This window comes from Homo sapiens, chromosome 13, assembly GCF_000001405.40.
Source record: "Homo sapiens chromosome 13, GRCh38.p14 Primary Assembly".
NCBI lineage: Eukaryota > Metazoa > Chordata > Mammalia > Primates > Hominidae > Homo > Homo sapiens.
Genome location: NC_000013.11, coordinates 72,770,749 through 72,797,877, shown reverse-complemented (window position 1 = coordinate 72,797,877; position 27,129 = coordinate 72,770,749). Strand labels below are relative to the sequence as shown.

The window sequence follows — 27,129 nt, the reverse complement described above, 5'->3', positions numbered from 1 at the left end:
TTAAATCCAAATTACAATTAAAATTTGTAATTTGTAGTGCTCTCACTTATCAGTAATAAAGATAAATATTTACAAAACTACAACAAGACAGTCATTAATGGACCCTAGCCACTAATACTTTCTATCAAGCCTTAATGTTCAATTAACTTCCCTCAAGGGCCAGATGATTTATAACCTCTTACCTTTGACAGTATTTCCTCCCTTCTACTGACACTCCATTACTACTCATCTACTACTGCTCACTCCACACTAGGTGCTTGTAAACTTCTGGAACATATCACAAATGTTCAGGAGTCTTGCTCTTGCTGTTTCTTCTGCTAGAGAAGTTCTTCCCCCATATAAATGCATGGCTCATGCCTTGTCTCCCTATAGGTCTCTGACCAAATATTACCTTGTTAGTAAAGCCCTCCCTGATTTCTTTACCTAATTTTAAGTAGCACTCCCTATTTTTCACCCCTGCTCTTTTCTCTGTAGCACCTTTGACAAACAGATATTCTACATATTTAATTTTTAAGTTATTGCCTGTGTTGCTCCACTTTCACAACCTGAGGGCAGGGATTTTTGTCTGGTTTATACACCGCTGTATTTCCAATGCCTAAATATATGATAAGCACTCAATAAATACTTGATGAAGAGGTAAAGTGTATTCTTTATTTTCATCCCAGGCTCTTGGCAAAGCTTTATTTACTGCTGTCCCTACAGTGGAAGTCTAATCAGAATGAATCAAGAGGTATCTTTCACATCATTACTTCCATTTAGTTCAGGTCTCTCTTTCCACTCATACTTGTCTCAGAGAAATTTTCCTACCCTAGCTCAGTAAAGTGTTCCATCTGACAAGGTCCCATAAAACTAAGAAATCATCACAGCAAATTAGGAGAGAGTAATTAGGGGCTATCATATAGGCATGCAATCTGAAACTCCTTAACATATGACGGTATTACAAGAATACCATTATTTGGTAAGAGGCAAATCTTAATACTAGCCCTCAACAAAAAGAATCTGCATATAATTAATTAGTTAAGGATAATATTGTCTGTGAAAACAAAAGATGTAAGAAGGAATATTAAGAAAACAAACAGCAAAAATATGTGTAACTGCCACCAGTGTGATACTTTATATCTACTGTAAATGAAGCCTCAAAAACAGAATTTGAGATATTTAATTTGTTTTGGACAGTATACTTTGGACAGAAAAGCTGTATTTGAGCCTTTTAAAAAAAAAAAAAAAACAGCTGAACAAAAAAGTAACTTCATTTTATCAGACATCACTAATCTGCAAATCTTTTCCCAATGAGAACCAAGAATAGCAACCACCACTCCAGCAAAAACAATAGACAACATTTTTATGTGTTTACTATCTTCTAAGCACTATGCTCACAAGCATTTTACATACATAGTTATAGTCTTTACAATTATCCCCAATAGAAACGCACCGTTACTATTAACCCTTTTTAGGGATTAAAAAATTCAAGCCTCTCAGGGTAAAATGACATCTACATATTAAAAAGCAGCAGTTCTCAACATATGGTTTTGGGACTCCTGGACTCTGCCCCACTCGCCACTCTGAGATCCTTTCAGGGAATTCACAAGATCAAAACGACTTTCCTAGTAATTATTAAGATTTTTTTTCCCCGTTTCATTCTCATTCTCTCATGACTGTTCAGTGGAGTTTGCCAGTGGCTACATGACATATGACATTATCACTCTTAAGGCCAATGGAATTGTGTGCTTATTCTTGTGTTTAAAAAAGTTGTTAGTTTAAAATTCTAGTATGGTAAATATTAATAGATACAGCCCATATAAACAAACACTCATTGGGGTCCTCAATAACTTTTAGAATGTAAATGAATGCTGACACCAAAATATTTGAGACCACTGCCATAGATTAATCCTAGGTGTTCTAGATTTGTGTAACCAGCACTGCAATCAAGATCTTGCGCCAATCTCTCACCACAAAGTTCTTTCTCATCCTATCCCTTTATAACCACGCTGACTCCTCTCTCCCACTATCCCCAACCAACCCCTGGCAACAACTACTCTGTTGTTTATAATTTTTCATTTTGAGAATGTAAGAAACCACCAGTTTACGATAATTCATTTCTATGGACTATGCAGTCATTAACTTCAGAAACCTATTTATTGCTTGACTTTGGAGATCAATGGTCATGATCCTTTAAAATTTGGATCTCAACACCATTCACCATCCATAGCCATAAAATAATGTATCAATTGGGTACTTCAAAAGTAATTGCTACTATATAAATGGTAAATTTTAGTCTGAAAATATATGTCATAGTTAAAAATAGATATAAGATACTTACAGATACATATTCAGGAATAGAAAGCTGATCTTCAGGAAAAGCTTTTAATTTAATATATTGCTCTTCTGTCAACTCAAAGTCACGCAGGTTTCGACGAACATCTCCAGCTTTTTCTCTTAGCTGAAGATTTGTCTCTTCTAGTTGTTTCTGTCTCAACAAAATGGTTTCCATTTCTTGTTTCATTAATTCTTGATATTTGCTACATTAGAAGAGAATTTATGGCAGGCTTTAAAAAAGTATTTGAGATCTAATTTTCTCACAGTTTCCTATTTATATCAACATAAAGTTAGGAAATCAGAAACCTGACAGTATTATTTACTTACTCCAGCTAAATACTTATTTACTCATATTAATCAGTTAAATATGAAATGACAATTCCATACTAATTATTAAATGTGTAACCATATAAATTATTAAACAGAGAATTGATATTCTTAAAGAATAATTTTAGAAATTCAAATTATAAAATTATATATTTCTTCTGCTTAAGGTTTAATGTTAAACATCAAGGACTCTACTTATTAAAGTAATTTTCATTTCCCTTTTATCCTGATACTTCAAGGATATCTCTTTAAGATGGTAACACTGAACCACCATAAGGTATTCACTCAACCAATGAGGTAATGAAAACAGTAATCTGCACATACTCATCATTCTCAAAGAATACATGTAGCAGACATTATTGTTAGTTGCCTACTGAAAGATTCTGATCAGGAAGGGACAATCTGATGTTATTAGTCTGCTCTCATGCTACTAATAAAGACATACCCAAGACTGGGTAATTTATAAAGGAAAGAGGTTTACTGGACTCAGACTTCCACATGGCAGGGGAGGCCTCACAATCATGGCGGAAGGCAAAAGAGAAGCAAAGGCATGTCTTACATGGTGGCAGACAAGAGTGCTTGTGCAGGGGAACTCCCATTTATAAAACCATCAGATCTTGTGAGACTTATTCACTATCATGAGAACAGCATGGGAAAGACCACCTCCATGATTCAGTTACCTCCCATCAGGTCCCTCCCATGACATGTAGGAATTATGGGAGCTATAATTCAAGATGAGATTTGGGTGGGGACACAGCCAAATCATATTACTGATTTTCCCCTTCCCTACTATATCAATCCCATTAACAGACACACATGCTGTTATTTCAATCTTACAACAAATGAACAAACAAAACCACAACTCTGGACTTCACTGCACTTCCCCCTTTGTTAGCCACCCCTTTGGAGCAAGCTTGCTCAAAAGTTGTCTATAATTATTGTCTCCAAATCCTTTCCTCTTAAACCCATGGCGATCATATTTTTACTGTCTCCAATGAAATCTCAATGACATCTAAATTGCAAATGATCAATTCTTAGTTCTTTTCCTCCATGATCTAATGATAGAGCTTGACACAAGTCACTTTCTTTCCTTGATACATTTTCATCACCTGGCTTCCAAGACATCATACTGTTCATTTTTCTTCTATTTTACTGTGGTTCCTTCTCAGTCTCCTTTTCTGCTTTGTCTTAATGTTGGAGTACTTGGTCCTCTTCTGTCTGTACGCACTCCTTGGGGAATTCATCTAGTCTCATGACTTGAATACTGTCTATAGCCTAATGATCCCCAGATTTGTACCTCTACACGAGACTTTTCGTATACCTCCACATGGATTTCTAACTAGAAAACTCCAACTTAACATGTCCCAAATTGAACTCAGGCTTTTTACTCACAAAACCTTTGCTACCATGATTTCTTTCTTCTTAGCTGACAGAAATTCCATTTTTTCATTTGTTCAGGCCAAAACTTTTGATGTAATCCTTGACTCCCCTTTTTCTCTTAAGCCCCACATTGAATCCATCAGCCCTCCAAAAAATATTCAGAATCCAACCATTTTTTATGACCATCAGCTATCAAGAGTTTTATTACAATAGACTCGTGACTGCCCTCTCAGCAGCATCATTCAATCTGATATATGTCTTACAGAATTAGCATAGAAGACCTATTATCAAATGCAGTGGTTCTCAAAGTATTGTTTCTGGACCAGCAGCATCTGCATCACCTGCGAACCCAGTAAAAATGCACATTCTCAGGACCCCACCCCCACAAGTCAGAAACTCTGAGGGTGGGATCCAGTAGGCTTCTTTAACAAGCCCTTCAACTGTTCCTGATACATGCTAAAGTTTGAGGTCCACTAATCTAGTGTGATAGTGGCTGATAAAAAGGTCCGATAATTTTTTACAATATCAGTTAAGTAGTAAAATCTTAAAAAGGGAAAATTTACCTGTTTTACACTTTTACCTGTAATTAAAACATAGAACTAAACATTCACATTTTTATATAGGATCCAGATATTTTGAATACAGAGGTATGATTTGATTTTGTGTAAATCATCATGTATGATTTCCAAGTTCAATTTCTTTACAATGGCATGAGATCCTAAAAGACATTTAGGAAGAAACCAATGAAGGTATCTTATATGGATTTCATGTTTGCCCTCAATCTTTAAACTTGTGTTGCTTATATTTAATTTCATAATTTTTTTAGTTCCTTTTATTGAATCGTTCCAAAGAATTTATTTCATTGTTTGTATTATTTTTAATTAAGTTACATAAGTATAATTGCCATAGGCATATTTAAGCATGATAAGCCCACAACTGAGCTAGAGAAAGTACACAGGAATAATAGAAAGTACTTCAGGCCAGGAAAGTCCAATGGGTCATGAGAATCAATCAATATGTTGCGTAAAAGAAGAAAGGTTAATGGTGGTCAGTTTAGAGAGCTTCCTTTATCATATATGGTTTACACTGACCAATGTTTGTTGAATGAATGTTGAATTTTGACTTTCTGTATTTTATGTACCATATCAAGTATCCTACTTTTTTTGTGGTCTAGGTGTAAAAATTATTGCTATCTCTGACTTAAAATTTCTCTATTTTAGCTTACAGTCACAAACATGAACAGGCAATAAAATTACTTTTAATTGCTAAATAGATGTTGTTTTTTTTTTAAAAAAAACTTTTCTTACCTGGCATCTTTCTGTTGAAAAGCCAATTGGTTGTCTAATCTCAATGTTAGTAGCTGCTTCTGGTGAAGTGCATCATTAAGTTTCTCCTCCAATTCTTCAATCTTCGTAAAGAGAAAAAGATAAATTATATGATTTGTCATAAAGAAAAACTTTCAGTTTCATAATAAACATATTTTAAAAACACTTGAAAGAAACAGGCTAAAAATGGATAGAGGGACCAGGCACAGGGGCTCACGCCTATAATTCCAGCACTTTGGAAGGCCAAGTGCTGTTGCCCAGGCTAGAGTGCAGTGGCGCAACCTTGGCTCACTGCCACCTCCTCCTGCCAGGTTCAAGTGATTCTACTGCCCCAGCCTCCTGAGTAGCTGGGATTACAGCCAAGTGCCACCACACCCGGTTAATTTTTGTATTTTTAGTAGAGACAGGGTTTCACCATGTTGGTCAGGGTGTTCTTGAACTCCTGACCTCAAGTGATCAGTCCACCTTGCCCTCCCAAAATGCTGGGATTACAGGCATGAGCCACCGCGCCTGGCCTCCTGCCTCCAGTTTTGCCAACCTCCAAATTTATATTCCTCTATCTTACCTTTAAAAAATGCTATCAAAAATTTATTTTCAGCTGGGTGCGGTGGCTCACGCCTGTAATCCCAGCACTTTGGGAGGCCGAGGCGGGCAGACAACTTGAGGTCGGGAGTTCAAGATAAGCCTGGCCAGCATGGTGAAACTCCATCTTTACTAAAAAATACAAAAATTAGCCAGGCATGGTGGCGGGCGCCTGTAGTCACAGCTACTCAGGAGGCTGAGGCAGGAGAATCACTTGAACCTGGAAGGCGGAGGCTGCAGTAAGCCAAGATTGCACCACTGTACTCCAGCCTGGGAGACAGAGCGAGACTCCGTCTCAAAAAAAAAAAAATTATTTTCCTAGTTTTACATTCTTCAGAGGATCCTCACTGTCCTCAGAATAAATTCTAAACACTGTGGCATAATACAGTGGTATTTCTTGATCTAGCCAACTACTTTTGTCATTAGCTTAAAAGGAAACTCCATTTCAGCCAATATTAAGTGCTTGCCATCCCCCAAGTATGCTGTGCTTTCTCAAGCACTTGGATTTTGCTCTTAGTCTATTTAGAAAATTCTTTATTCCCTTTGCTTTAACCAAGACGATTCCTGTTTGCCCCTTAAAATACATGAATTTCAGGCAGGGCGTGGTGATTCACACCTGTAATCCCAGCACTTTGGGAGGATGAGGCGGGTGTATCACAAGGTCAGGAGATGGAGACCATACTGGCTAACATAGTAAAACTCTGTCTCTACTAAAAATACAAAAAATTAGCCGGGTGTGGTGGCATGTGCCTGTAGTCCCAGCTACTCGGGAGGCTGAGGCAGGAGAATCGCGTGAACCCGGGAGGCGGAGGTTGCAGTGAGCTGAGATCATGCCACTGCACTCCAGCCTGGGCGACAGAGTGAGACTCCATCTAAAACAAACAAACAAACAAACAAACAAACAAACAAAAATACATGAATTTCACAGCCAATCCATAACATATGCAAGTAAATCCCTCCTCTTGCATCGTCAAGTCCCTCTTCTCTACTGAATCATTCTATCATCAAGCAAATGGTCCCTTGATCACATCATTCTCTTTGCTATAGCACCATTTCTCTGTTGGTCTTCAGAGCAAAACTTCAATATAGTTTTTGCCCCATACTATTCCAGTGAAACTATTCTTGTTAAAGTCCATAATGTCCTGTGCATTGTTTTTTTCTGCCTATTTATCTTATTTGACAGCATGACTTGATACAGCTAACCACTTCATTCTCTTTTAGCTTCCATGATACTCTTCTCTAGTTTTCTTAACTCACTAAATACTCTTAAGCTTTCTAGGCTCCTCAGCTGGACTACCCCTTTGACTTACTTTATAGCCCTCTGTTCTCCCTAGGAAATACCATACAATCCCATGGCTTTAGGTGCCACCTATATGCTGATTTATCTATCTATCTATCTATCTATCTATCTATCTATCTATCTATCTATCTATCTATGTGTGTGTGTGATCTATCTATAAGGGTGTGTGTGATCTATCTATAAGTGTGTGTGTGTGTGTGTGTGTGTGTGTGTGTGTGTGTGTGTGATGGACTCCTCCTAAACTCTAACTGACAATTACATTTAGGAATCTATAAGTTACACCTTCAAAACTGAACTTATTAATATATTTTACCTCCCAGATCAGTTTTCTCCCAGCCTTCCATTCTTATAAATGGCCCCAGTTAAATAAGCCAAAAACTTAGGAATGTAACTCTTCTGTTTCTGTCTTGTCTGCCCTTAGTCTATTATTTTAGTGCCATTTTGAATACAGAAATCAGGACATGTAACTCTTAACTGCTAAACTTTGCCAATAGCTTTTCTGACTACATAGTCTAAAGCAAGAATTAAAAAATGGTGATGGGCTAAATCCAGCCCATAAGAAAAATCTGATAGAGCATAGGTGGCCTACAAAGCATAAAATATTTTCTGTCTTGGCCATAAGAAGGGGGACCTCTGTCATATCCATTGGCATATATCCAGCAACATCTCAATAAATAAATCAATATAAAATGTAAAATAAACACATTCCTTATAATTACTGTTTCCCAAATCAAGAATACTGTTACATGTTGAGCATCCCAAACCCTAAAATCTGAAATTCAAAATGCTCTGAAGTCTGAAACTTTTTGAGAGTCACTATGACACTCAAAGGAAATGCTCAGTTGACCCTTTTGGATTTCAGACTTTCAGATCTGGGATGCTCAACTGGTCTAACACAAATATTCCCAAATTAAAAAAAAAATCAAAAATCTGAAATATTTCTGGTCCCAAGCATTTTAGATAAGAAACAACCTGTATCACGAGGAAAAAAAAAACATTTTTTTCAGGGTTTCAATGTTTATAATTTCAATTAACTTCTAAATTGAGTCTCTTAACTCAAGGACAAGCTGGGAAATGTATTCATTTCCCAGGTAATAAGGAACCCACAGATCTCTAATGAGAGATAAATAAAAAGAGTTTGGGGCATTTAAAAATTTTAAAGAGCTCAATTCTGTGGCTCAGGCTGTAAACCCAGCACTTTGGGGGGCCAAGGTGGGAGGATTGCTTGAAGCCAGGAGTTTGAGACTAGCCTGGACAACATAGTGAGACCCTGTTTCTACAAAAAAATTAAAAAAATTAGCTGGGTGTGGTGGTACACGCCTGTAGTCTCAGCTGCTCAAGAGGCTGAGATGAGAGGATTGCTTGAGCCCAGTAATTTGAGGCTGCAGAGAGCTGTGATCAAGCCACTGCACTCCAGCCTGGGCAAGAGAGTGAGACCCTGTCTAAAAATTTGAAAGGCAAGAACAGAGAAGAGGAAAGGAATAAAGAAGTACAGTAAGGAAGGGAATCTAGGCAGCAATAGATGGAAATAAAAGTGTAAAGCTAACAATGCTCTACTATCAGGAAGTTTGGCCTGAATAGCTACTCTTCTGAGTAGCTTTTCTACATTCTTTCAGTTAACAAGCAGCTGAGTGGGAAGTGCTTTTAAAGTGTTCTTGGACCTGCTTGTTCCTGTTTTTAGACATGGAGAATTCAAATCAATACGGCCAAGACTATTCCTAGTAACAAACTATAATAAAGCCATGTATCCATAACCATTTGTATTGGTGCCACAATGGAGTGGGACATGTTAGATTCAAATATTTTCTAACTAAAAAAAGATTTTGATGGGTAGAAGAAAAAACTTACTTGCCTCCCAACATCAAACCTTCCCTTCTTTCTGACATACTCTGGTTTTTATTAGTAACAACATGTCCAGTTAGCTTCCCATCCCTTGTAGGTAGGGGTGGTCATGCTATACAATGTTAGTCAATTGAGGCCACTGGCTTGAACTTCTGGAAGAACTCTTTAAAGAGGACTGACTCATTTGGCACATGCCCCCTTTTCCACTATCCTTCTCCTTATTACCACCTTTTACATGTACACAATACTGGAGGCAGATAAGCTATCTTATGATTTCAGGTGAAAAGCATATGTTGAAAATAGCTAAGGTTAAAAGGAGCCTGGGTTCCTAATGCGATCAAGGAGTAATCACTTGAGGTCTACTAAAATACCTATTTTTGGATTTTTGTTATACCAAAGAAACAAAATCCTTCTCTTGCTTAAGCCATGGTTTCCAGGTCTCTGTTACCAGAAACCACCATTTTTCAAGTCTCTGGTATTAACTGCTGAACTTAATCCTTGAAACCCTGGGCAGTTGGTTCAATCTCTTTCCAAAATAGAAATACCTATAATATTTATTAACAGTTGACTATTCAGGACTACTTAAATGCTTCCAATGACAGGAAGCTCAGAAACTTAAGATCAGGCCATTTCAATGTTAATAGCAATAACAGGCTTACACTGAGCAGAAATCTACCTTTCCTGTGACTTCCAACCATTATCATGGAGCTATAGTCTAGTGAGGAAAATTTATTTTTCATAACGTTAGCATACGATGCTCAATAAGCTTTGGAGAATGAATGACCAATTAAAAATACCTTTCTTTCAAGACCTAGGCTTTAAGTTTCCTGCCCAGGCTAAAAAGTGTATGGCATGGCTGGGTGCAGTGGCTTCACACCTGCACTTTGGGAGGCTGAAATGGGTGGATTGCTTGAGGCCAGGAGTTCGAGACCAGCCTGGCCAACATAGTGAAACCCCCATCTCTACCAAAAATACAAAACTTAGCTGGGCGTTGTGGCACGGGCCTACAGTCCCAGCTACTCGGGAGGCTGAGGCACAAGAATCGCTTGAACACAGGAAGTGAAGGTTGTAGTGAGCTGAGATCATGCCACTGCACTCCAGCCTGGGCAACAGAGTGAGACTCTGTCTCAAAAAAATTAAAAGAAAAAAAAAGTATATGGCAGCACTACCAAATTGAGCCCCTTTCTTCTTCACTTAAAAATTCAGAGAGGATGCTACCAGATAGATTTGAATCAAATACCGCGTGGTGTTACCAGATCCATCAGGCTTTTGGGGACCCTGTTCATTTCAAAATACCCCATGAACCTTCTTTGCTTTCTTCTAGAGCTGGACCTCATTGAAACACCAAGAAAACAAACAGCTCTAACACCAGGAGTCCAATATACTTCTGAGTCCTCACAATCGACCAGAGGGACAAAATTCAGTGGGGTGTACTAGCTTTAGAATCACTGCTCACAAGAAACAGTGTAGCACTTTGTTCATCTGGAGTGCTTCACACATAAAGACAAAAATAAAGACATAACTAAACATATAATAACACATACAAATAAAGGTGTTATTTTAAAACATATAAAGAAATATGTCACATACCAATTTATACATAAACAAATAAGTGAAAAAATATATATCATGTGTGTAGTGCTGTTTGCCTGTCTAAGGTGTTATTCCCAGGGCATGTAAGAAGTAAACATATATATACACACATACACACATTAACATACATATACATATTCTTTAATAAAAATATTTTTTAAATATTCTTTCATCAACTCCAGACTCACACTTTCTCACATTTTAACATCTCTAAAATTGGAATGCATTTTACAATCTAAGGCACTTAACAATTCAACTGGAAGTGTTTAACCTTAGCAATGTATGTAATGATGCATCTTACAACAGAGGTGCTTTAGGTTCAATAAATTATGGAAGGCTAACTCTACAATAGGTATTTCTTCATATATTTGAGAGCAAACATCTTATTCCTAAAGAGTCTTCAAGCAGAGAATCCTGAGTGCTCGTATGATAGAGAAAAAAACTCTACTAATATACAGCAGGGCAGCTATTTTGGAGATAACCTGGCAGTACACTTAGTTAAATGAAGGAGACATTTATATATGTCAAAGACATGCTCACAGAGGTCCAGAAGAGAAATGTCTAATGCTGCATGTGTTGCAAGGAGCTGGAGGCAATCTGGATGCCTAGCAATGTAGGAGTAGAAAGACTGGTAGACGCACACAAAGAATTACATAAGAGTTGGAAGCAAAGGACTAGATGTATACAAAGTAATAGATAACTTCAAAAACAGTGCTGAGTAGGAAAAAAGAGATGAGAACTAAAACAAAGCATATAATTTACATTTCTGTAAAGTTAAAAGATACACATTCTCAAGAATACATGTAAACAAAACATTAAAATGTTTGCATTAAGAAATGGAATGAGCTATAGGAATGAAAAGAATAAATACATTAGAAAAACAGCAGCCTTTCAGGGATCAATGATGATTATGTGTCAAACTCAGGAACACGACTATTGCAATCTTCTACATTTTCAGTCAAACTAGAAAACCACAACAAAAACTACACTAAGCACCATGGAAGTAGAAAAATAATAATATTGTGCTGAGTAAGTATAGCTACAAATAAAATAATATGTAAATAATAAGTTTATTATTAGTATACACCAAGCATCTATGAGCTTACATACATTGATTAATCCTCCCGATAATTCCACGGAATAAATACTATTATCATTTTATAGGAAATCACGGAATAAAAACATTAAGGAATTTAGTAAGGCTGGAATTCAAAACCCAAACTGTGTGCATCTAGAACTGTAATTTGGATTTGTTACACTAGAGAGCCTGTCATGAATCAACCAACATTTCTATAATATAAAGCTTACACCTAAAAAGAAGCAAAGCCATTGACAACCAAGGACAATGCAAGTTGAAAACAAATAATACAAGAGGTGGCTGAACAAAATGTAAGTCTGGATATGGTATACAGGTGGCACTTAAAAAAATACTTGTTGACTGAGTGGGTGAATTAATGAATGGGAGATAACCTCAGGTTTCTTCAATGAGTTGCACTAAGGTCTGGAGAGGTGAAGGTAGATGGAGTTCATGTGAAATGCAAAAAGAGTAAGGGAATAGGGATGGGAAACCACTGGATGCATGGATAAACTACCAAGTGACCTAGACTAGGTAGGTGACTGTATAGGGTACCTAAAAGAAAGTGTTTGGAGCTTCACTTGTGTAGAGTATAGGCTTTAGACTTCCTAGGTTTGAATCCTATCTGGCTCTATCACTTTCATCTGAATGGCCTTGGGTATGCTATTAACCACCTAGTGGCTTTGTTTAATCAGAGCAAAATGGGGTTCAGTCATTCATTTAAGAAATAGCTGGGCACTTAATTTGTGTCAGGCACCGTTCTAAGTGCTGGAAATACAACCATGAATACAAAAACATCCCCGTCCTCATGGACCTCATAGTCTATTCACAGACAAATAACAAACAAATTCAGTCCGATGGCCATAAAAGGCACAGAAAATGAAAGGGATGAAACAGATAAGGATGCTATGTTAGTTGAAAACAACAACGGCTAATACGTCTTGTGTGCTTATTTTTTTTTCTCCCCTCAAAATTTGTATATTGAAACCTAATCACCAATGTGAGTAGCAGGAAGTTGGGGCCTTTGGGGTGATTAGGTTATAAGGGTAGAACCCTCACTGTTGGGATTGGTGCCCTTATAAAAGTGATCCCAGAGAGCTAGCTGGGCATGGTGGGGAGCACTTGTAATCCCAGCTACGTGGGAGACTGAGGCAGGAGAATTGCTTGAACCCAAGAGGTGGAGGTTGCAGTGAGCCAAGATTGTGCCACTGAACTCCAGCCTGGGTGACAGAGCAAGACTGTCTCCAACAACAACAACAAAAAACAACAAAATACCTCATATGTTAGATTTTTTAAATTGAGCCTACAAAAGTAATTTATCCATATCTACGTTTAAATCACTCCATATTTCAATACTTAAATTATTATTATTATTTTTTTGAGATAGGGTCTCACTCTGTTACCCAGGCTGGAGTGCAGTGGTACGATCTCAGCTCACTGCAATGTCTGCCCCCGGATTCAAGTGATTCTCCCGCCTCAGCCTCGGAAGTAGCTGGGCCTGCAGGCGCAGCACCACTACGCGGGGCTATTTTATTTTTTTAGTAGCAAGGGTGGTCTCACCATGTTGCTCAGGGTAGTCTCGAACTCCTGAGCTTGGAGCAATCCACTGGCCTCAGCATCCAAAGTGCTGGAATTACAGGTGTGAGCCACCGCACTTGGCCTCCAATTATTATTATTATTATTATTACTAGTTTTTGAGAGTCTTGCTGTGTTGCCCAGGCTGGAGTGCAGTGGCACGATTGTGGCTCACTGCAAACTCTGCCTCCTGGGTTCAAGCAATTCTCCTGCCTCAGCCTCCCGAGCAGCTGGGATTACAGGCACCCACCATCATGGCTGGCTAATTTTTTTTTTTTTTTTTTTTTAAGTAGAGCTGGGGTTTCACAATGTTGGCCAGGTTGGTCTCAAACTCCTGACCTCAGGTGATCCCAACTGACAGATAAAACTGTGTGTATATGTCATGTACAACATAATGTTTTGAAGTATACGTACATTGTGAAATGGTTAACTCTAGCTAATTAAAAAATGTTTTACCTCACATAGTTATTTTAGTAATGAGAACACTTAACATCTGCTGTGTTTTTCAAAAACACAATGTTTTCCAAGATTACAATGTCATTAACTATAGCCACCATGCTGTCCAATAGATCTCTTGAATGTATTCCTCCTATTCAACTGTAATTATGTATCCTTTGACCAACATCTCCCCAACCCTCCTTCACCCCTAACCATGCCAGCCCTTGGTAACCACCATTCTATTCTCTACTTCTATGAACACCAAAATTATTTAAAGGCTGTACTTGTCAAGAAATATAAATGTATCATTTCAAGTTCAGATAATGTGTGTATTTAATTCTTATTTACCTGCCGTTTGAAGACAATAAAGCATATAGAACACAAAATTTAAACCTGATCTTACCTTTGTAAGATAATCCACTTTCAAATTGTCGATCATCATAGTTTTCTGGGATAGCTCAATTTTTAGTAACTGAATATTATGAAGTAGTTCTTTTCGTTCAATTAGCTGCCTGGTGATTCTGACTTTGCCCTCTCGCTCTTCTGATGAGGAAATATCATCCGTAGGAACTGTTGTTTCTAAACTAATATCTTCAGATTCCAGAGAACTAGAGATGTTCACTTTTTTTGACTCCTTTGAAATTTTTCGAGACATTTTTATTATTATGGATCAGTTTTCTTCTCTAATTTGATTTTAATATTCTGTAGGTTAAAAAACATTAATTCAAATGTACTATAAAATTAACTACAGAAATCATGGACTGTATTAAAGAGAGACTAAGGATTCCTTAAATAAATATTAGGCAATTTAGTGCATCCCAAATCTAGAACAGATTATTGCAGTTAAGTTAATGCTCAAATCAAACACATTAATTCCTAATATGAAGTCAGCCTTCGAGAAACTTAAAAAAACAGTTCCTGCGGGGAGGAATCTTACTTGGAGGAAACAAAGAAATGTACAAGATGAAGAAAAAAGCCCATTATAATCAAGAATGGCACCACTAAAACCAACACATGCTCAAAGATAACAGAAATCACGTCTGAGTTGGTCAGGGAAACGTTACACAGAGGTAGCACTTAGAATCTTTAAAGATTTGGACAGGCATGGTAAAAAGGAGAAATCATGCAGTTATTAATGATACGTAAGTGGAAGTAAAAAAACAAAGCCAAGTCTTGGAATAGTTACTCCTTTCACCGCCCCCCCAACACAAACACAAACACACACACACACACACACACACACACACACGCCCTTAACGATCAAGACTGGAAGGCCTTAAATGTCAAAATAGGGTTGGATTTTATTCTACAGGCAATGAGGCATCATTGAAGATGTTTTAAATAGGGAAAACGGGGACAAAAACATTTTTTATAGATAGCAGAATGAAAACAACAGGATATAAGAAAAATTCAAGAAATTCTAAATAGAACTTACTTCTAACTCTCTCATAAGAATGTTAGCAACTACCTTGTTTTAATACCTCATGATATAACAAATTATGCTATTAAATATTTCAGTTTTTCTAAACTGAATGATAAGGAAAGGTGTGTGGAGGGGAAACAGCGAGAACTATACTAAGATCGGCCTCCCTCCTTCTTTTTGAAGGGAAATAGGTAAGAAAAAGTGAATTCAAAGACAAATTCTCTCCTCGATTACAAAGGGCCCGAGACGGGGACTGCCTATACACTCGGCGTGAAAATTAAGCCCCAAACTTGGCAGCTCGGGGGATTCCTTGCCCCACGCGGGAAAGAAAGCGATGATAGTCGCAAGTTACCTCGAAAGTGTCAATTACTCCACACTGAAGCCTTGACCAGCAGCCAGTGCAGACACCGAGGGACCAAAGGCGTCTCCGGTCGGAAGCACAAGGTTGCAGGCCCTCAACAAGGGATTTCAAGGCAGGGGACCGTTAGGACCCGTAACCAAGACAACCATCTCCGCACCCGCAAGGAGGACAGAACCAGCACTCCCACAAGCCGCCGGAAGTCAACTCTCCCGGATGTTCCGAGGAGCGGAAAGCAACACACGTTGTGAGGTGGCGTCCAGAAGGAAGCCCCGCCTAGGCCACGGGCGGAAATGGCTCCTCGCCTTGCTTTGCCGCCCCTCCCCACTCTCGCCCAATCCCCGCGGCCGTCAGAGAGCCAACCAATGTTTATCTCGGCATTTTCCCGCGAGAAGTGTTACTAATATCCGGGAATGGAAAGGGAAGAACCTCCGGGGTTAGGCGTATTCTAGATTGACGCCTTTTGCTGGAAGAGCGCTGCTGGGGTTAGGATTCTGCGCGGCGAGGCAAGATGCTCAAGTCCAAGACGTTCTTAAAAAAGACCCGGGCGGGCGGCGTGATGAAGATCGTGCGCGAGCACTACCTGCGAGACGACATCGGCTGCGGTGCGCCCGGGTGCGCAGCGTGTGGAGGGGCGCACGAGGGGCCGGCCCTGGAGCCGCAGCCCCAGGACCCGGCGAGCAGCGTCTGCCCGCAACCGCACTACTTGCTGCCCGACACTAATGTGTTACTGCACCAGGTGCGTGGGCGGGCGAACCGCGGACAGCGCGGCCCCACGGGGACAAGGGGGTATGACAGGGAAACTGAGGCCCAGGGAGGCGGGTCTTTGGCAGTGTCACATACCTAGCGAAAGGGAAACCCCCTCGGGACCGAAGCTTCCTGTTCCCCAGGCCGAGGTTCTTTTCCTTGTGCTTTAAAAAATTTAGTTCTTGGAGTCGTAGTTCAGACACGTTATTTTTCTAACTCCTGGTGTCTCTTCTGCCTTAGATTGTAAGTGCCTGGAGGCCGGGGACCTGGGCTTCTGTGGCCTCCAGCCTGCGACTCCCAGGCAGCTTGTAAGTGCCTAGGAACAAAAAACTATGTGGGCCAACGTATTCCTTTATTAATACCCTTAATTCTACGAAGTCTTGTGATTGGTCTGTTTAAGTGTGCTTTTTTTAATAGATCTGAAGGGTTTAGTGACTATTGTCTCGTTTTCTATAGCCAAATAGCTTCTTGGCTTAACTTATTCAGTGTTTTTAAAACATAAAGTATTTATGCCCAACATAAAACAGGATTTTATGTTTGACAGAGCTATTTACAAATGAATATAGGAAAAATTAACTTTATCTTTCTTTAAGATTGATGTTCTTGAGGACCCTGCCATCAGGAATGTAATTGTGCTACAAACAGTTCTTCAAGAAGTGAGAAATCGCAGTGCCCCCGTATATAAACGCATCCGAGATGTGACTAATAACCAAGAGAAGCATTTCTATACTTTCACTAATGAGCACCATAGGTAGGAGGAATATTACGTTAAATATCAGAAAACCACAGGATTAGCAAAATTCGGGAGAGGGTTCCTGTGAGTAATTTATGACATTGTCAGAAGATAAGTGATAGATTTCATACCTTATTTAATTCTTACATGGCTGTGCAGAAGATAATGCTAAGTGGATCTCTCTAAGGTCACACAGGCATTGATGGGCTCAAGCCTAAAACCAAGGTCTGCTGACTCCTAGACTACAATAGGTACTTTAATTTCCAAAATGTTTTCATTTTGAATTGGTTTTAGCATGAGTTGGACCATAGAATCTTGGAAGATGAGATTTGCTTAAGTTCCTGGAATACCATATTATGTGAACAACTAACAGAGGGTAATAAAATATATGAGTTTGTGAAGTTTCTATTTTGTTTAAAAATAGAAAGTAGATTTATTCTTAATGGTCTTTTTAAAAGTTTAATACTTTGCAGCTGATTACATTGAGCAAGATTAGGTTAAGGAATAGAATTCTTTTTTTTTTTTTTTTTTTTTTTTTGAGATGGAGTCTCACTCTGTCACCCAGGCTGGAGTGCAGTGGTGTGATCTCTGCTCACTGCAACCTCCACCTCCCAAGTTCAAGCGATTCTTCTGCCTCAGCCTCCTGAGTAGCTGGGATTACAGTCACGCACCACTATGCCAGGCTAATTTTTGTATTTTTAGTAGAGACAGGGTTTCACCATGTTGGTCAGGCTGGTCTCGAATTCCTGACCTCGTGATCCACCTGCCTCAGCCTCTCAAAGTGGTGGGATTACAGGCATGAGCTACCGTGCCTGGCCAGGAATATAATTCTTTGTTGTGCTTTTAGATTCAAGACCTTTGAACTCAGTGTGTGGTCTCAAAAATATGATATTGCCTATTACGTTATATTACATAAATAATCTATGATGAGTATGGTACTTTTATTGGATTAGATCAGGGCTTCTCAATCTTGGCATTATAGATATTTTGAACTGAATAATTTTTTTGTGGTGGAAAGGCTGTTTTATACATTGTAGTATGTTTAACAGTGTTCCTAGCCTATTTGGCAGGATCACCACCCCTTACCCCCCCCACCACCACCACCACCACCACCACTCAGTTGTAATGATACAAAATGCCCTGAGGGGTGAATTCACTCAATTGAGAACCATTGGATTAGAGTGTAGACTTCTGGTAATGAAATTCCATCAGATTATGCACATTTTTAAAAACCTTAATATCTCAACTTTCTTGATTCTTATATCTCAAACTTCAATGTTCTTGTAAAGAATACCAGTAAAGCCCTTGTAGGCTTCTTATTGTTAGTACCTCCTTGAAATCCAGAAATAGCAACATCACTTGTTTTTCAGTGCAGAAAGACCCAAGTTTAAAACCAATTCAAAAATTTATGACTGTGTCTTTCACTGATGAGCTTAAAACATTAGCAGCTGGGCGTGGTGGCTTATGTCTGTAATCCTGGCACTTTGGGAGGTTGAGGTGGGCAGATCACTTGAGGCCAGGAGTTCCAGACCAGCTTAGCCAACCTGGAAAATCCCTGTCTCTTAAAAATACAAAAATTAGCTGGTTATGGTGGTACATGCCTCTAGTCCCAGCTACTTGCGAGGCTGAGTTGGGAGGATCACTTGAACCCGGAGGTAGAGGTTGCAGTAAGCTGAGATCATGCCACTGCACTCCAGCCTGAGCTACAGAGCAAGACTCTGTTTCAAAAAAAAAAAAAAAGCATTAGCAAGTGCATTCAACGATGAGGAATAAAATAATTCTAAAACTATTAATATAAATCAAATTATTAAATTGAATCTATTACCATTAAGTACTGGAAGCTATTGTAGTGAACTTTGCTGTTGTACTTAAACCTGGCTTTGATGAACAGATTTAAAGAAATAGATGAATGTGTTGACATACTTGGGAGTTTAGATAGAAGAAATACGTAATATCTATTAATATACCTGACTTTTCAGTCTCTACATAGCTTCAGCTATTAGTGTTTACCATGGATAATTTATATGCATTATTTATTAATGACTGTAGAATTCTGATTATAAATGATCTAATTATACTATTTGTAGCTTTTAGGAATTGCTATTAACCTACAGTTTGAATGAAATCTGATTATCATACCTGTGAAATTGTATTATAATTTGTCAACAAACTATTATTTAGTGTCTCAACCTAAAGTATAAATTCTGATCTTGAATTTTTCTTTTTAGGAAATAAAATTGTATTAGCCTTTTTCTTGTCCCCTTAATAACATAATTTTCTTCTTTTCCAAGCAAATTGTTTCTTAAAAACTTAATTATAAGAATCTTGATTTCTTCTCTGAGGTGTACATCTGAATACATTCAAGAGAAAAGATATACCATTGACTTTTTCTAGTTTAGTGGTTAAGCATTTATGTGCTAAGAGTTTTCACATATCCTTGTTTCTACTGATTTCCTTTTATTTCGTTTTTTCTTTCCATTTAGAGAAACCTATGTAGAACAAGAACAGGGAGAAAATGCTAATGACAGGAATGATAGAGCGATTCGAGTAGCAGCAAAATGGTACAATGAACATTTGAAAAAAATGTCAGCAGACAACCAGCTGCAAGTTATCTTCATAACAAATGACAGGAGAAACAAAGAGAAAGCCATAGAAGAAGGAATACCAGCTTTCACTTGTAAGTCTAAATGTAGAAGTACTTAGTGCATGTTTGCAAATGCGTGTAAAAATAATCATTAGGCCTATAGTCAGATGTTCACTTTACTATTTAGTATTTTCGTAGTCCTATATAACTTCATGTGATATTTTTGTATTTTTAAATTTCACATAGTTTTTAACCTAAATATGTTGTGCCCAGTGGCTGTTAATTTTCCCCTCACTATTTGCAACTGGTTTAGCAATGAAATCTCATAAATATACTGGAACCCCTGCTTCTGCTTAGGTATGATCACATCAACAGATTTTTGGGTTTTGTTTTTTAAATAAATTGAGGCCAGGTGCTGTAATCCCAGCACTTTGGGAGGTCAGGGCAAGAGGCTTGCTTGAGACCAGGAGTTCAGGACCAGCCTGGGCAACATAGGGAGACTATAGCTCTACAGGAAAAAAAAAAAAAGCCGTGCATGGTAGTATGTAACTATAGTCCCAGCTACTCGGGAGGCTAAGGCAGGAAGGTAGCTTGAGCCCAGGGATTCTAGGCTGTAGTGATGTGTAATTGCGCCGCTGCACTCCAGCCTGAGAGACAGAGTGAGACTCTCAGTGTGTCTCAATGAATGAAAGAATGACGTGTATACTGTCGCAAACAAGACTATCCATTTTTTTCATATCTAAGGAAAAAACACTTATCAAAAACAACATAAACTTATTTTTTCAGGTGAAGAATATGTAAAGAGCCTAACTGCTAACCCCGAACTCATAGATCGTCTTGCTTGTTTGTCTGAAGAAGGGGTATGTTTTTGTTTTGTTTTTGAAAAGTAAAAATATTAAAATAGCCACTTTGGAATATTAGGCATATAGTTACCAAATTTAAAAATTGGAATGTCGGTGGGTAAGCTGGATTTGGAATAGTTGTGTTATAAACAGGAGTGGATGTCATAGGCTTATTGAAATGCCATTCCTAAAGGAGTTAACTTTCTAAAATAGATATATTCCCATTAACCTGAGTAGGGCCTGGTACCTGGTAGCACTGTTTGGTTGAGGAAAAAATGAACGGAGTCCATGGCTGATTTGTGAATAAAGAGTAGCTGCTGACAAATGAAGTGGCAGGCACTGCAGACAGAGGAAAGAAGAGGGAGGGGAGTGTCCAGATAGTAAAGACCTAGAACTTATTCTGTAGGTTAGTAATTTTTCAATTGATTTATAAAGATCTCCCTGAAGGGCTGCTATGAAGAGGAAAGGATTCTGAGATCCCTTCCTTATATGTCAGGCTAAGAAAAAGTAATGGTATATGAATGTGGATTGGTGGAGCAGGAGAGAATGATTGGAAATGGTATTTGTTTGTAAGACCACTCTCATGTCAGTGTGTAACATTAAGCATTTTATCCAGGAAAGATTAGAGGCAGAGAGGTGAGTAAAGGAGTCATTACAATAGCTGATGTGAGAAGGAGTGCTAAGGGAATAATTAAATTCTGAGCATTCATTTTCTTATATATAAATATATAATGTTTAGCAATAATAACTTCATAGTGTTGTTATAAGGATCAAATAAGATGATAACTGTAGCATTAATACAATTTTCATCCTAGTGCCTGGCACATAGGTATGGTAAATATAAATGGTAGCCCTTGTTATAGAAATAGGTTTTAAGTGATAGGACATTATACATAAATCCAGTCTTTACACTTCTGTCATCCCTTCTTACCTTTATGATACTTTATGAAACCAAAAGGAAATGAGAAGATAAAAGTTGGGTTTGATTTTTGAAATACAGATTTAGTATTGCCCTAATATGTAGCCACTTAGTTATATATGACTATTTAAATTTAATATGTATTAAAAATTCAGTTTCTTGGTGGTACTATCTGTCTTTCAAGTGCCCAAGAGAAACTTGTGTCTAGTGGCTACCATATTAGAGATCGCAAAATGAATACTTCCTTCATCATAGAAAGCTGTTTTTGTTAGCACTGGCCTATAAGAAACACTGCTATCTTCTCTCCTATTCAGAGTTGTGTATATCATAATGTAGATTTCAAAAATTCTCTGATATTAATAATAGTTGTGTATTGAGTGAACAGAAGACTTATTAGCGGCATCTTTTGGTTTGCTTCTTTCATAGAATGAAATAGAAAGTGGAAAAATAATATTTTCAGAGCATCTTCCCTTAAGTAAGCTACAGCAAGGCATAAAATCTGGTACATACCTTCAAGGAACATTTAGAGCTAGCAGGGAAAATTACTTGGAAGCTACAGTATGGATTCATGGCGACAATGAAGAAAATAAAGAGGCAAGTATATAAATAAATTCCTTATACACTAAAATAAAGATGATATTTTATATATTATGAACACTTAATGGTAAATACTATTTGTGTAACATATGAGGCTTCACATACTTTAAAGCAAATAGTAACTTTTTTCTTTTTTTTTTTGCAGTGCTCACAATTTGTCAGGTAGTTTTTTAAATCTTTGCGCATGGCATTTCATTTAATATTCAACCCAACCTATAAAAACTAGGTAGTGTACTCTTATTTGACCAATCAGGACTTGAGATTTAGAGAGCATAAATAATTTTTCCAAAGTCTCTTGTTACCAGTGTAAGTTATGATGGAGCCATGAACACAGCCTGTGTTTTCTGACTTACATTTTTTCTACCTGGTATTGAGAAATTAAAGTTGTGGAATTAGGGACACAATAGAGAAAGAAAATCTATAAAGGAGAAATAGAGATTCCATAGAGATATTCAGAGTGTATGTAAATATCTGTTAGATGATCTTCCCTTTATTATATTGCCATTAAAAATAATTTGGGCACGTGCCCTCTGTTGTTTTAAACAGATAATCTTACAGGGACTTAAACATTTAAACAGAGCTGTTCACGAAGATATTGTGGCTGTGGAGCTTCTCCCCAAGAGTCAGTGGGTAGCACCATCTTCTGTGGTTTTACATGATGAAGGTCAAAATGAAGAAGATGTGGAGAAAGAAGAAGAGACAGAACGAATGGTATGAATCTAAGCAGGATTTTTTTTTGTCTGTGTAGCTTTGTATTATTAATATGTCAGCTTTGGAAAACAAGTTTCATTGCTTTCAGATTTATTGCATAAAATCATAGTTCTGTATATTTAACGCATGTCATACACATGGTTTTTTTCTCTTCTATGTAGTTTTCTTTTATTGTCTTAATTTGCTCAAATAAATGGGTTTAAATGCAAACAGACTGTTAGTATGAGTTAATACAAGTATGAAACTGAAAATCTGTGACAGTCAAGTATATTATTAGACTTAGTGAGATTTAAGTAAATATGTGTTTAACATTTTCTGAAATGCTTTAAGTAATGTTTTAGGAAATGTTTTAGAAAATGCTTTAGGTAAAATTCCCTTAACATAATAGACGTAATTCTGGGCCATTATATTTGGGCAACTTATCTGATACCATATTTATTATGAAGAGAATACTTTCAGTTATTTCTTATGATATGCGCTAAGTCTACTTGATATGGCCTATTTCTGTATTTTATAATTACAATATTATAAATAGTTGGAATGCATGTAACAGTTTTTTATTCTTCTTTTTCCATCATTTATATTCATTGCTCTGGAGTCTCACTATAAAATTATCCATGGAGAGTCCAGGCCTTTGGATAGTGTTAAGAGGTGAAATACCATAGGAACTTTTGTAATTTCTAATAGCAGACCCTCTTTATTTGGGTTTTTATTTTTTATAAGGAAGAACCTTTAGAATTAATAAATAAAGGTCCAAAGGGAACTAGTCACCATACCACATAGCTAATTTGTACAAACTAGTACTAAAACCCTAATCTAATTCCCAGACCTGTGTGTGTATTTTAGTCAGTAAATCCTCATGTTAATCCTGAAAAGTGTTGAGTTCTAACATACGTATTCAGTTATATTTATTTATTTGTTTTTGCTTTTTGATTGTTTTGTAGTACTTTATTATCAAGAGAGAATGTCTGTGGTTTGGTTTGGCATGCATGTTCTTGTCTAGAATGTTGAAACATCAACATTCTGTAGTCTTATGTCATAATTTACTGCCTGAATGGATTAGTATCCATGTATGCATTTTGATTTTGAAAGGAAATTGCCTGATAATACTTAGAGGAATATAACTGAACATTTTAATTTTTATATCTCAGCTTAAGACTGCTGTAAGCGAGAAAATGTTGAAGCCTACAGGTAGAGTTGTAGGAATAATAAAAAGGAATTGGAGACCATATTGTGGCATGCTTTCCAAGTCTGACATTAAGGAGGTGAGTAAAGAGCATTTACTATGTAATAAAAAAATGATAAACATTTAATAGAACTTATAGCCTTTCTTTTGCCTCCATCCTCAGATTTTTTTTGTGTAAAATCTTTATTCCTAATTTTTGCTAGTCAAGAAGACATCTCTTTACACCTGCTGATAAGAGAATCCCTCGAATTCGCATAGAAACCAGACAGGCTTCCACATTAGAAGGACGGAGAATTATTGTTGCTATTGATGGTTGGCCCAGAAATTCCAGATATCCAAATGTAAGCTTAAAGTATTAATTTTATGTGGGGATGTTTAATTAAAATTTTGTGAATAGTATTTCTGCTTTTAATAAAAACAATCTACTTTTATGTAGAATTTGTACTGAAATTTAGAGATATTTCACAAAGTGACCTGGTAAGTAGCATGTCTACTTTGAAAATTAATTTTATGAAATTCCAGTGTAAATCATTTGGTTACTTTTATGTAAATTTCTTCTTTTTGAGAGAGAGTCTCACCCTGTTGCCCCGGCTGGAGTGCAGTTCTGTGATTTCGGCCCACTGCACCCTCAGCCTCCCAGGTTCAAGCGATTCTTGTGTCTCAGCCTCCCGATTAGCTGGGACTACAGGCGTGCACTACCGTGCCCAGCTAATTTTTAGTAGACATAGGGTTTCGCTGTGTTGGCCAGGCTGGTCTTGAACTGGCCTCAAGTGATCCACCCACCTCAGCCTCCCAAAATGCTGAGATTACAGGCATGAGCCAATGTGCCTGGCCTCTTTTATGTAAGTTTTTAAACCTATAAGTTTTATTGATCATGACTATGAAAAGTGAGTTCTATATAGATTCTAATCAACAAATTTTGAAAAGATTATATTGGAAGCACATTTTAAACTTGAACATTAATAAGAAATAGATGCTTTAGAATGTAAGAGCTGGACCCTTACAAAGTTTCCATCATAAATCAGTTGAGAAGTCTTGTCTAATTTACTAAAGGGTCATTTTTCAGAAATCGTTATGGGAATATTTAGGAATACTGAGAAGATATGTAAATGCTGAAGAATTTAATATGATAAGATGTAAATTTGCTATAAAATAGGCGTTTCTAATAATGCCTCTTGGTTTCAGGGACACTTTGTGAGAAATTTAGGTGATGTTGGAGAGAAAGAGACTGAAACAGAAGTTTTGTTACTTGAACACGATGTTCCCCATCAGCCTTTTTCACAGGCTGTTCTTAGTTTTCTGCCAAAGATGCCCTGGAGCATTACTGAAAAGGTAAGTTGAAAGTAATTTGTAGTGACTTTATAAATTATTATATCCTGCCTAGTTTTGTTTAATTTCTATATGTGTTTTTAAATATGTAGACACCACGGGCCCTCTTTTCCTGCATTTTGTTGGGTATAGCATTCTTAGGAATTATAGAAGAAGTCATTTGCTTCTTCATTGAAGGGTAAGTTTTTCTATGTGGCAGACACTTTCATATGTTAAATGTTTCAAAGGGAAGGAAACCATTAGTTACAAATCATACGTGGTGTCTCTCTGCTCCAGTGCAGGAAAAAGAAATGTGGTTGTCATCAAGAAAATACAGCTAAATTGTTTTTGTATACATATTACTGATTTCACAAGAGCTATTAATATGTTGTAGTTGTGCTTTGGAAATAATTTATTTGTTTATCATTTCATGTCTTCTAGGACATGAAAAACCGAGAAGACCTGAGGCATCTGTGTATTTGTAGTGTAGACCCACCAGGATGTACTGATATAGACGATGCTCTACATTGTCGAGAACTCGAAAATGGAAATTTGGAGGTATTCATATGTAATAGTGTTCTTACCTAAATATAGTTCTGTTCTGAGTTCATTTTCTTTTGAACTAGAATAGAATTTGCTTGTTAATTACTCTTGTGAAGTATAATTGTAGCTGCACGCTATTGGCCATATGTCAGAAGTTGAAATGGTAGAGGTGACTGAGTCTTTTTTAAATTTAGCTAAACTTTATCTTATTAAAACTCCATTAGGTACATTTACCCAGTCAAGCATATTGACATCCTTTTATTTTTATCTTTTTAAGGTTGGTGTTCATATTGCTGATGTGAGCCATTTTATTAGGCCAGGAAATGCCTTGGATCAAGAATCAGCCAGAAGAGGAACAACTGTGTATCTTTGTGAAAAGGTAAATGTATTGAATTTAAAAATTTAACAGTCATGGACACTTAAGGATTCTTAAACGGCCATGAATTAGCTAAGAAAAATACATGGAATAATGTGGCTTTAAATCACTAAATATATTGCAAATTTTTGTTATCGAGTGGTTCAAATAACAAGTAAAGTATTGTGAAAGTCAAGGGGAAGATTAAACTTAGTCTATTAGTGATTTATTGTCAGAGTTCTTCTGTATACTTTTTTCCATAAAAATTTAGTTTCTCTTTTCTTTTTTTAGTATTTTAAAAACACCTTGTAGTTTATATTAAGCATTGGAGAAAGGTCCAGTCATAGAGTGTGTCAGGTATCAAGTATAAACTTATACAGACCAGAGATTTAAAACTTTCAGAGGACAGCTAGGTCGTTAGTGTAGAGGGCTTAAACTTAGATTAATTGGCATGAAGTCCAGTTTTCCTTCATAGCTTTCCTTCTTTAACAATTTTGTATAAGTGCTTTTATAGAAACAAACCTTTTATTTGACCTTTTCTCAATTCTCCTATTTACAAAAAGCAGAACACTCTTTTCTTTCCTTGTTTAATTAATGTTATTTGAGAATAGAACCTCACATAAATGTATGGTTATGGCTAAGTAATCTGTGGTTCTATTTTTATCTTTTGCAGAGGATTGACATGGTTCCAGAGTTGCTTAGCTCTAACTTGTGTTCCTTAAAATGTGACGTGGACAGGTATTTCTGCATGGTTTTTTTTCCTTGAAGACATTGTATTTACTACTTTAACCTGATTCCCATTAACAAATACTCTGTATTTTCCTTCACAGGCTGGCATTTTCATGTATTTGGGAAATGAATCACAATGCTGAAATCTTAAAAACGAAGTTTACCAAAAGTGTTATTAATTCAAAGGTTCGTTTCATGGCTATTAATCTCTAATTTTTAAACTTTTTGGTACTTTTTTGAAAAAAGCTAAATAAATTTTTTAAAGATTCACATGTACGTATATATACACATATATAAAAATATTTATATATTTGAAAAGAGATGTTATGTATAATTATATG

The 27,129-nt window shown here is 37.1% G+C and overlaps 2 protein-coding genes across 20 annotated transcripts in view, besides 4 other annotated features; one reads left to right on the top strand and one right to left on the bottom strand.

Moving 5' to 3' along the window:
* The window catches only part of PIBF1 (progesterone immunomodulatory binding factor 1), a 234,329-nt gene extending 218,584 nt beyond the window's left edge, over positions 1 to 15,745 (bottom strand). For 15 of the 16 annotated variants that reach the window (NR_146205.2, NR_146206.2, NM_001349655.2 and 12 more), the window contains exons 1-4: positions 15,529 to 15,745; positions 14,157 to 14,455; positions 5,331 to 5,431; positions 2,321 to 2,519 (exon numbers count right to left, since the gene is read on the bottom strand). Coding sequence is in view for 14 of the 16 variants with exons in the window: in NM_001349655.2 (NP_001336584.1) it covers positions 2,321 to 2,519; positions 5,331 to 5,431; positions 14,157 to 14,408 (552 nt within the window). In the remaining 2 variants the exon portion in view is untranslated. The remainder of the gene's footprint in view (positions 1 to 2,320; positions 2,520 to 5,330; positions 5,432 to 14,156; positions 14,456 to 15,528) is intronic. The other variant, XM_011534885.4, reaches the window with a different exon arrangement.
* Positions 15,845 to 15,954: an enhancer, noted in NCBI's record as "active region_7815". NCBI's record gives its function as "activates an Ori minimal core promoter by ATAC-STARR-seq in GM12878 lymphoblastoid cells {active_cell/tissue: GM12878}" and the evidence as "EXISTENCE:reporter gene assay evidence [ECO:0000049][PMID:35858748]".
* Positions 15,845 to 16,786: a biological region, named in NCBI's record as "H3K27ac hESC enhancer GRCh37_chr13:73355230-73356144".
* Positions 15,872 to 16,786: an enhancer, noted in NCBI's record as "H3K27ac hESC enhancer chr13:73355230-73356144 (GRCh37/hg19 assembly coordinates)". NCBI's record gives its function as "activates a minimal SCP1, AML or CMV promoter by ChIP-STARR-seq in primed H9 embryonic stem cells {active_cell/tissue: H9 hESC(primed)}" and the evidence as "EXISTENCE:reporter gene assay evidence [ECO:0000049][PMID:30033119]".
* The window catches only part of DIS3 (DIS3 exosome endoribonuclease and 3''-5'' exoribonuclease), a 29,732-nt gene continuing 18,580 nt past the window's right edge, over positions 15,978 to 27,129 (top strand). The window contains exons 1-14 of one of the 4 annotated variants that reach the window (NM_001322349.2): positions 15,978 to 16,273; positions 16,522 to 16,589; positions 16,875 to 17,032; positions 19,498 to 19,691; positions 20,385 to 20,458; positions 21,786 to 21,953; positions 22,503 to 22,667; positions 23,819 to 23,932; positions 24,057 to 24,194; positions 25,039 to 25,185; positions 25,603 to 25,719; positions 25,982 to 26,083; positions 26,733 to 26,797; positions 26,890 to 26,974. In NM_001322349.2, coding sequence (NP_001309278.1) covers positions 19,598 to 19,691; positions 20,385 to 20,458; positions 21,786 to 21,953; positions 22,503 to 22,667; positions 23,819 to 23,932; positions 24,057 to 24,194; positions 25,039 to 25,185; positions 25,603 to 25,719; positions 25,982 to 26,083; positions 26,733 to 26,797; positions 26,890 to 26,974 — 1,269 coding nt within the window. In that variant the 5' untranslated portion in view covers positions 15,978 to 16,273; positions 16,522 to 16,589; positions 16,875 to 17,032; positions 19,498 to 19,597. The remainder of the gene's footprint in view (positions 16,274 to 16,521; positions 16,590 to 16,874; positions 17,033 to 19,497; positions 19,692 to 20,384; positions 20,459 to 21,785; positions 21,954 to 22,502; positions 22,668 to 23,818; positions 23,933 to 24,056; positions 24,195 to 25,038; positions 25,186 to 25,602; positions 25,720 to 25,981; positions 26,084 to 26,732; positions 26,798 to 26,889; positions 26,975 to 27,129) is intronic. The other 3 variants (NM_014953.5, NM_001128226.3, NM_001322348.2) reach the window with 3 other exon arrangements.
* Positions 16,235 to 16,284: a silencer, noted in NCBI's record as "silent region_5396". NCBI's record gives its function as "represses an Ori minimal core promoter by ATAC-STARR-seq in GM12878 lymphoblastoid cells {active_cell/tissue: GM12878}" and the evidence as "EXISTENCE:reporter gene assay evidence [ECO:0000049][PMID:35858748]".